The sequence below is a fragment of the Homo sapiens genome, chromosome 5 (genome assembly GCF_000001405.40).
Source record: "Homo sapiens chromosome 5, GRCh38.p14 Primary Assembly".
Taxonomy (NCBI): Eukaryota; Metazoa; Chordata; class Mammalia; order Primates; family Hominidae; genus Homo; species Homo sapiens.
This window is the reverse complement of record NC_000005.10, coordinates 44,725,859-44,737,137: the sequence shown is the minus strand read 5'-3', so window position 1 is coordinate 44,737,137 and position 11,279 is coordinate 44,725,859.

The following is an 11,279-nucleotide window of genomic DNA, read 5'->3' as shown; positions in this document are numbered from 1 at the left end:
TACTCTGATGTATATTGAAAGTATTTTCTAAGTTTGCGTTTTTGTGTGTTTTATATTATGTTGTGCTTTTGTTATAGTGTCCTTATTACAAAGAAATTTGAATGTATTTACAGTGTACCTACTTTCTTGGATTCTGGGTTTTGAGTGTTGCTTAAAAAGGCACTTCCTATCAAAGATCGAAAAAGAAAAAAGAGAACATATTTACTGTGTGTGTAAGTGTGTGTGTGTGTGTGTGCGCGCGCGCATGTTTAAATCTTTGATCACTGGAATTTTATTTTGGTATAAGTAGTAAAGTAGAATTTCCCCACAGTCAAGCCTTTAAATAACTACAGATTCAGCTGACACCTTGATTGTAGCCTTATGCGAGACCCGCACCAGAGGCATGCAGCTAAACTGCTACTGAATTTCTGTTCCACAGAAACTGTGACATAATCAATACATATTTTTTAAATTTCTAAGTTTCATGATAATTTGTTTTGCAGCAATAGATAACTAATAGTGCTTGTTTTGTTCCAAAATGATTACAACTATTTCTAGTGTTTAATCACTTGCCCATTTACTCAAATTTTATTTAAGATTTATTTAAAAATCAGGAATGGATGGTAAGTTTTACCAAATGATCTTAGTTTTTGGTCATTTGACTTATGAATATGGTGAATTATATTAACAGATTTTGTAATATTGAATCATCCTTATATTCCTGGAATAAACTCCAGGAATTTACATTAATCTTTAAATATATTGTAGAATTATGTTTTATATGATTTATTTAGGATTTTACATTTACATTTGAAAATGATGTATCTGTATGTATTTTGATTATGAAAAGTCTTGTCAGTCTATACCATGGAAAAGTATAAGAAGCATTGACATTTTCCATTTTTGGAGGGCTGAATTGACTTCACCTATGATTCCAACCAGGGCTGGTGTTTTTTAGAAGTGAATATTTGAACATTCTCTCAATTCTACAATTGTTTAAATTTTATATTTAATCTATGATAATATTTCATATTGTCTAAAATTATCTACAGGATATCTATGTTTTAATAATTTTATGTTGTTGAACAAAATACTTTTATATTTCTTTAACATTTCTGGATATCTCTCTGGTTATTTCTACATTCTCAGGCCTCATCCTTTATCCATAAAAGTATTACGAATTAGAGGTAAATACCCCAGCTTCTTCCACACTCAGGTGGAATAATCCTGAGTTTCCCATAATTTGTTATGTGGATGAAGCCCAGCTGACTACAGCAGGAACCTACTTGACATTGTATCTTTTATGGACTTGCTTCCCTATACTGTCTCTCTTCTCCAATGCCCACCTGGTATTTTAAAGAATCACCTCCCAGGTAAACTATTCGCACTGAAATCCTTGTCCCATTGTTTAAAACTAGGGGAAGGCAAACTAGCTACATGCCCAGGTAGAAAAACTTTTTCAGCAGCTCCATAACAAAATTCATTAAAGCTTTATTACCATTAATTCTTAGTTTTGTTCCTCTTTTTCCAGCTTCAGAACAGAAAGAAATTAGGCACTATGAGATGACAGCTAATGATGAGAAAGAATGATTTGTAGGAAGACTATTTTCAAATTCAATGAAGTGCAGAAATAGTTTGCAAATCTTGTCATTAATTATTCTATGATTCATTATGAATGACAAAGATTTACTATAATGATATAAAATATTATATACAGTATAAATATATAATAGATAATACTCTAAATTTACATGAATTATTTTTATTCATATAAATATAAATAATTTATATTTATAAATATAAAATATTTAAATATATTTATAAATACATTTTATATATACTTAATTTCTGATCCACAAAAACTATGACATAATGAATATATATTTTTAAACTTCTAAGCTTTATGATAGTTTGTTTTGCAGCAATTGATAACTAATAGTACTTGTTTTGTTCCAAAACGATTGCAGTTGTTTCTAGTATTTAATCACTTGCCCATTTACTCAAATTTTATTTAAGATTTATTTAAAAATCAGGAATGGATGTTGAGTTTTACCAAATGGTCTTAGTTTTTGGTCATTCAACTTATGAATATGGTGAATTAGATTAATAGATTTTGTCATATAAATATTTGTTATATAAACATTTATATTTATATAGTTATAAATATATATATACAAATATATAAATAGTATATATACATACTTATATAAATATAAATATATAGATAGTATATATAAATATTTATATAAATATAAATATATAGATAGTATATATAAATATTTATATAAATATAAATATAAATATAAATATAAATAAAATATTAAGCTTTAATAAAGAACAATTAGTGAAGAAAACCATAGCTGTCATAATTATAGCTTACTCTTCTTAACTTTATAGAAAATCTTCATTTGCCTATATTTTATCATTAGAATCTAATGTAATGATGTTCTAAAATTCAAAGGGCTTTATAATCACTAATAACAACTTGAGATTTACAGTTCTCTACACAATGCTAGCTTCTTCCAAATAATGAATGCCAAAGAGAATCTAATCAAACCTTAATATTTAAAGAACTAGTTGTAGTTTCTAAAAAAGGATAGAACATGTTGTAGAAATACATTATTTATTAATCTGTTATTAAAATAACAAAACTAATCTGTCCTCTGAAATGGCCAGATTTACCATGACCTTAGTTATATTGAAGGACTGCTATATTCAATACTGCTTATGATATACAAACATATTTATGAAACAGCCCATTTCTCTCAGTTATGGTACTAGCTAAACAAGTATTCAGAGCAATACTTAAGCTTTCACATAAACACACCCTTACTCTTACTGATCACAACAGACTCCCTGCTACGAATATTTGTGCATCAAACACATTTATATTATTCCAAAGGAAACTAACTGCTCCAGGAAGGTCATACATTCCTAGTCTATTTCAAATAAACAACTTGATCATGTTTGTTTCTACCACTTGATGTATTTTATCTTAAGAAGTAATTTACTTTATCCATGATAATTTAACAATTTTTTTGATGTCCTGTTCTTAGTTACATCTCTTACCCAGATTCATGGCTCTCAATATTGCTTATGTATTTTGAAGATTGACTTAGCCTAAAAATTCATATAAAGAATGCCCTTGGGAACACATGCTTTTATTAGTGTGTATTCTCTTCAGATTTCTAATTTCACCCTCATAAGATAAACAAAGACAATTATAAAGGAAAAATAACATTTTTAAACTCCTATTCTTCCACAAAGGCTACATATATGAAAAAATATATATATTTTGAATGGGCTTTTGACAATGCTATTTTTTTTTTTTTTTGAGATGAAGTCTCGCTGTTGTCAGCCCAGACTGGAGTGCAATGGCACGATCTCGGCTCACTGCAACCTCCGCCTCCCAGGTTCCAGCAATTCTCCTGCCTCAGCCTCCCAAGTAGCTGAGATTACAGGCACCTGCCACCACACCCAGCTAATTTTTGTATTTTTTTAGTAGAGACAGGGTTTTACCATGTTGGCCAGGCTGGTATTGAACTCCTGACCACAGGTGATCCACTTACTTCGGCCTCCCAAAGTGCTGGGATTACAGGCATGGGCCACTGTTCCTGGCCGACAATACTATTTTTATTAATATAGATTTTTTCCTTTGGAAATTTGACTCATTATTCAGAGAGTATAATTCTGAAAAAGAAATACTTTTAGTAAGGTACATATATATAATCTAACATTAATAGCTTATTTTTTTCTTTAGGTCTTCTTAAAGATATGCTGTACATTAGAGCCTGCTAAAAGAAAGTTTAAAGACATTTTATAATTATATTCTATATTTCACATTTTTAACTAAATTGAGTTCTAGTAACTGTAGTATTTAATGTATTTTTTTCCTTTAGATAATGTTCTTTAAAAAGTAGGTTTCTAAAGAAAACTTTAAAAATGTGCTGGTAAATATAATGAATTACTTCCTAAGGACAAAAAGATTTGGTTGGCACTATACGAAATGCTGAAGTAAGTATAATAAAATTTGTTATGAACATCTATGTTCAAGCCCTTATTCTTTTGAAGGTGGCAAGGACAGGACCCTGTCTATCCCAGCAAATGTGGACAATGTACCAGTCCCAACCTCAACCTGGGGAAGATACCCTGAACAAATTAGGACTGGAGATGCCAACTACACATTTCATCAATGAGGAAACTAAGTCACAAAAAGGACACAGTACTTGCTAGTATTTCCATAAACAGGGCCAAGTTAGAAAAATGGTATATGTCAATTTTGGCTTTTGTTGCAATTGCTTTTGGTATTTTAGTCATGAAATCTTTGCCCATGCCTATGTCCTGAATGGTATTGCCTCGGTTTTCTTCTAGGGTTTTTATGGTTTTGGATTTTACATTTAAGTCTTTAATCCATCTTGAGTTAGTTTTGTATAAGGTGTAAAGAAGGGGTCCAGTTTCTGTTTTCGGCATATGGCTAGCTGATTTTCTCAACACCATTTATTAAATAGGGAATCCTTTCCCCATTGCTTGTTTTTGTCAGGTGTGTTGAAGGTCAGATGGTTCTAGATGTGTGGTATTGTTTCTGAGGTCTCTGTTCTGCTCTATTGGTCTATATATTTGTTTGGGTACCAGTACCATGCTGTTTTGGTTACTGTAGCCTTGTAATGTAGTTTGAAGTCAGGTAGCATGATGAAATGGGATCTAATTAAACTAAAGAGCTTCTGCATAGCAAAAGAAACTATCATCAGAGTGAACAGGCAATGCACAGAATGGGAGAAAATTTTTGCAATCTACCCATCTGACAAAGGTCTAATATCCAGAACCTACAAGGAACTTAAACAAATGTACAAGAAAAAAACAAATAGCCCCATCAAAAAGTGGGCAAAGGATATGAACAGACCCTTCTCAAAAGAAGACATTTATGTGGCCAACAAACATATGAAAAAAAACTCATCATCACTGATCATTAGAGAAATGCAAATCAAAACCACAATGTGATACCATCTCACGCCAGTCAGAATGGTGATTATTAAAACATCAGGAAACAACAGATGCTGGTGAGGCTGTGGAGAAATAGGAATGCTTTTACACTGTTGGTGAGAGTGTAAATTAGCTCAACCATTGTGGAAGACAGTGTGGCAATTCCTCAAGAATCTAGAACCAGAAATACCATTTGACCTAGCAATCCCATTACTTGGTATATACCCAAAGGATTATAAATCATTCTACTATAAAGACACATACATATATATGTTTACTGCAGCACTATTTACAATAGCAAAGACTTGGAACCAACCCAAATGCCCATGAATGATAGATGGGATAAAGAAAATGTGGCACATATACACAGTGGAATACTATGCAGCCATAAAAAAGAATCAGACCATGTCCTTTGCGGGGACATGGATAAAGCTGGAAGCCATCATTCTCAACAAACTAACACAGAAACAGAAAACTAAACACTGCATGTTTTCACTCATAAGTGGGAACTGAACAATGAGAACACGTGGACACAGGGAGGGCAACATCACATACTGGGGCCTTTTGGGGTGTGGGGGGCAAGGGGAGGGAGAGCATTAGGAGAAATAGCTAATGCATGTGGGGCTTAAAACCTAAATGAAGGGTTGATAGCTGCCTCAAACCACCATGGCACATGTATACCTATGTAAAAAACCTGCATGTTCTGCACATGTATCCCCAGACTTGTGGGGAAAAGCAAGAGAGATCAGATTGTTACTGTGTCTGTGTAGAAAGAAGTAGACATAGGAGACTCCATTTTGTTCTGTACTAAGAAAAATTCTTCTGCCTTGAGATTCTGTTAATCTATGACCTTACCCCCAACCCCGTGCTCTCTGAAACATGTGCTGTGTCAACTCAGAGTTAAATGGATTAAGGGCGGTGCAAGATGTGCTTTGTTAAACAGATGCTTGAAGGCAGCATGCTCCTTAAGAGTCATCACCACTCCCTAATCTCAAGTACCCAGGGACACAAAAACTGTGGAAGGCCGCAGGGACCTCTGCCTAGGAAAGCCAGGTATTGTCCAAGGTTTCTCCCCATGTGATAGTCTGAAATATGGCCTCGTGGGAAGGGAAAGACCTGACTGTCCCCCAGCCAGACACCCGTAAAGGGTCTGTGCTGAGGAGGATTAGTAAAAGAGGAAGGAATGTCTCTTGCAGTTGAGACAAGAGGAAGGCATCTGTCTCCTGCCTGTCCCTGGGCAATGGAATGTCTCGGTATAAAACCCGATTGTATGCTCCATCTACTGAGATAGGGAAAAACCGCCTTAGGGCTGGAGGTGGGACCTGCGGGCAGCAATACTGCTTTGTAAAGCATTGAGATGTTTATGTGTATGCATATCTAAAAGCACAGCACTTAATCCTTTACATTGTCTATGATGCAAAGACCTTTGTTCACGTGTTTGTCTGCTGACCCTCTCCCCACAATTGTCTTGTGACCCTGACACATCCCCCTCTTCGAGAAACACCCACAAATGATCAATAAATACTAAGGGAACTCAGAGGCTGGCGGGATCCTCCATATGCTGAACGCTGGTTCCCCGGGTCCCCTTATTTCTTTCTCTATACTTTGTCTCTGTGTCTTTTTCTTTCCTAAGTCTCTTGTTCCACCTTATGAGAAACACCCACAGGTGTGGAGGGGCAACCCACCCCTACACAGACTTAAAGAAAATTAAAAAATAAATAAAAAGAAAGAAAGAAAAATGGTATATGTCTGCTGATTGTTAATTTGGGTCATGTTGCAACTTATAATAAAACCACTTTCATATAGGATGTCACTTTTTGAACAGCCACAAAAATTATTCTTGACTTTCTGGGAGTCAAGCATGCTAACTGTAGTATTTTTTTTTTATTAATATAACATGTGACTATGAAACTCTGTAAGGCTATGTTCCAGGCTGACTTCTTTAAGATTTCACTCATATTTGGTCTCCTCTGGGAAGCTTTCCTGCTGCATCTCAAACCCATTCTGGGATTAGTACCCCTCCCAGGCACTTCTGCAGTTCTGTCTTTTGCAGTCATGGTTCTTTCCCTATACTGATTGCCATATTTCTAGCTTGTCTCCTACAGTGAACTTTAATCTGTTGGACTACAGGAATCACACCCATCTTTATGTCCCCAAATGGTATTATTGTCTAGAATAAAATAGGTGCCCTGTCAGTGGTTGTTTTCCAAATGAATGAGTGAATGACTATTCACTGTTCTAAGACGCTATTACTATTGCATACCTAAGACAGAGTAGGGATCTCTCTTAGCCTGCTGCTCTCCCATCCTCCAAGCATGGAAATAAAAAAGAATCTTGAGTTCCTTCAACAGAAATTCCAGGCATCTAAGGAACCTTCAGAAGTGAATAAGCAACTTGATAAGCAAGAAGGTAACAAAAGCTTACAATAATAGTCAAGGAAGTAAGAACCACAAGATGCTTTGTTTCCTTTAGAAACTACAGATAACATTTTAATATGTGTCTCAGAGTTGTTTTTCAAAAGCCCAAGCCTTCACCAAATGGAAAATGCTATCTGCTGGCTTGTAGACCTCAGATAAGAGAGAACTGAGGAATGAACTCTGACTGCCATTCTTTATTCTAAATTTCTTCCTGGAGGCCTAGAGAGAGACATATCCACAGCCCAGGCATTATCATTCCTTTCTGCTAAACCCAAGTTTTTAGACAAAGCATTTCCTCTTTAACCAATCACAAATCAAAGTTTGAATCCACCTATGACTCATAAGCCCCCATTTCAAAATATCTCACTTTTTTGAGGCAAACCAATGTATAGCCTCCATGTATTGATTTATGATTTTGCCTGTAGCTTGTGTTTTCCTGAAACTTACCCTTTCCTCTAAAAACTATTGCCTGTGAACTTCTAGAGAGGTCAGATCTTAGGCATGAGCTGTTTGATTCTCCTTGCTTGACACTCTGCAAATAAATACCCTCTTTTGTCTTGCTGCAAACCTCTGTGTGGATGTACCGGACAAGTGGACCCAGGTTCGGTTAGGTAATTTGCTCAGATGATCTGCTTGTAGCTTCCTCTCAGCTAATCAAGATTTTAGCTGGTGTGTGTTATCATGTTTTATTTTCAAAGTATTTTGATTTTCATTGGGAACACATCAGAGTTTAAAGCAATTCTGATAATGGACTTTCAGGAATTGTAATAGACAACAGGGAGGTTTTTTTTTTTTTTCTTAAAAAAAAAAAACAGGGCTGTTCTCTGTATTATATCATGGAGGCATCCCACTTTACCACTTCTTTTTTTTTTTTTTTTTGAGACAGTGTCTCAATCTGGAGTGCAGTGGCATGATCTCGGCTCACTGCAACCTTCACCTCTCAGGTTCAAGCGATTCTCCTGCCTCACCCTCCTGAGTAGCTGGGATTACAGACATGCGCCACCATGCCCGGCTAATTTTTTTATTTTTGGTAGAAACGGGGTTTCACCATATTGGCTAGACTGGTCTCGAACTCCTGACCTCGTGATCTGCCTGCCTCAGCCTCCCAAAGTGCTTTGATTACAGGCGTGAGCCGCTGCCCAGCCCACTTTATCGCTTTAAAAGCTAGCCTAACCTGATGTTATGTACATCTCTATGTACAGATACATATATTTGCAGAGAGATCCTGTGGGTCCAATAGATGCTGCAGTTGAACCTGACTAGATTATGTTCCTTTGACTTGCTTGGCAAAGGCACTCATGTAACACAGTAAAAGAGAAGGAAAACATGTCCTGTCTTGTCAGCAATAGTAGTGCAGCATGGGTAATGGCTGCTGAGATATCCACTTTTCACTGTTTTGCTTCTCACCTGGTAACAATTCCAAATGAATGAGATTTGAAAAAGACATAAATCATTAGTCTCCATTTAGAACAACAATCCCAAACTAAGCAATGTGTTTGGCATTTTCAGAAATACTTTATTGGAATGATCAAGGAGTTGAAAGGCTAGAGTTATATATAATGATCATTTGCCTTAAACGGGAGAAAGTCATGATGAAAGTTGCTTTTTATTAGTAATTAGAGTTCTATAGCAGCAACATGTCCTAATTATGACATTTAGACCACTAGCAAATGAATAGCATTATTCAGATTTTGCTATGGAAAATTACTCCAGGCTATGTGGAATATTATGGAGTGACTGAGTATAACACTTTGTGGCCTGTATCTCACGAACTCACCCAACCTTATTTCACACACACACACTCCATCTGGACTCATTTATTAAGGGCACTTTAGTGCTCAACACAGAACTCGAGAAGTGGCACCTCGATGGGCTTGGAGATGAAACAAACATAGACTAAATATATGTAACTTATTAAATTTTGCACAGCATGGAAAACGTTATGCTTGGTGAGACACAGTGAAACTTAAGTATCTAATGAGCAATAAACATTTATGAATGACCACAGTCCTTTGAATCATTCTTCCAGAAACACAGGCAATGAAATCAGAAAGATCTGGAATCAGAAATTAGAAAATATCCAGAGGTTATTTTAAAGTAATTTGTCCTGGCATTTTTTTAATCAAATGTATTCATATACCATTCACATTTACAGAGTCAGGCAATATTCCAAATATTAAGGATAAGGCACTATTCCAGACATTGAGGATAGAAGAAACTCTTCATTGGTCTGGGTGATTCTGAAATGTAAAAGCAAAATTTCTACCCAGAGGACAATGAGGATTGATCATGGGTACAGTTACCTGGACCTCTTTGCACTTTTCAAGGGTGAGAAAGAAGTAACATTGACTTGTTCCCATAAACACAGCTGAGTATTAATGACCAAAAGAATTTTCCTGGTCTGTTTTCTGTTGTTAATCCAACTCAGCTTGCCATGGGACGACAATCTAGTGTTACCTGACCCTAGTGGCCACTCAATCACTTTGCTCACAGGACAACAGTACTTGAGAGTTTAAGAGCCCTTTTGTTTCAGAAAATTCTGCCAATTATTCAATCTAAGGTTTCATTTGTTTAATGACTTCCTCATTTGATCATCTAATGTGCTTTCTCATTCCTTTATCTTTTTGCTTTTTTGTTTTGTTTAGTTATTCTTTGGTCTAGCTATGGTTAATTTAATCTTTCCTCCTAAGTCAATGCCTCCCTGAAGGCACAAGGCCAAAGGCCAAATGACTTTAGCTGCAAATGTATGAAAACTCTCAAAGCATGGTGAAGTGAGTGTCATTACCAGGGGCATGTAAGTGGGGAGGGAAATGTCTACTCTGTCAGTCATAGTAAATTGTCAACTCTGAGGTTCAATAACACAAAATGAAGTCCTTTTATTGAAGTAGTAGAGCTTTTAAAGGTCTTCCCTTTCTTGTTTATTTAGGCATATTATCCCATTAATTGTGAGAGAGGAATTGAGGAGTTCACAGGAATTCATACAACAAGCACAAAGGGGAGTTACCAACCCTGGGTGATCTGTGGCCACTTGGGGCTCTCAGAGGGGAGGTGTTGTGGAGCATCCTTAAACACATTTCTGTAAAATGCTGAATAGTGTTTGTGCATAATATAATAATACTTTAAAGGTTTTACTGAGCAGATATTTCCTCATTTGTAGTGTGACAAACATATAAAGCAATGGAGAAAATCTGAGAGGCTTTAAACATAAAAATATGTGTCCACTGTTTCTACGTCAAATCTGTGATTTTCTTAAAATCAATACCAGATGCATAAGAGTACTTAATAAATGTTAGCTAAATGGGATAATTCTTACTTATATTCATCACACTTTTCTTCTTTCAAGTATTTGTGGTATTATGTTCCATAAATTCTAACCTTATTTTCCTTCAGGTTTTAATTCTAAGCTTCCTTTTCATTTATTTCCAACATAAATGAAGGTTCAGGTTTTGTTGTAGGAGTTTACACTAATTCTTTTGTCACTTATTCAATTTTGGTTTTGTTCTGTTTTGAACTTTTTTTTCACTCTTCCTTGTCAGTGTTTGTTGCTTATGCAAGAGAGCTTACCCTCATTTTTATTTTAAATAGCTTAAAATTTTCTCCAAAATTATTTGGGTCTCATTTTAAGATTTATATTTTATTATATAATTGCTTATAGAAATTAGACATTGAACAATGTGTGTTATTAGAACATTTGCCATTTTCTTTCTTTTTTGGGGGGACGGAGTTTTACTCTCATCGCCTAAGCTGGAGTGCAATGGCACAATCTCAGCTCACTGCAACCTCCGCCTCCCAGGTTCAAGCAATTCTCCTGCCTCAGCCTTCCGAGTAGCTGGGATTATAGGTGTGCACCACCACGCCCAGCCAATTTTTGTGTATTTTTAGTAAAAAGGGGGTTTCACTATG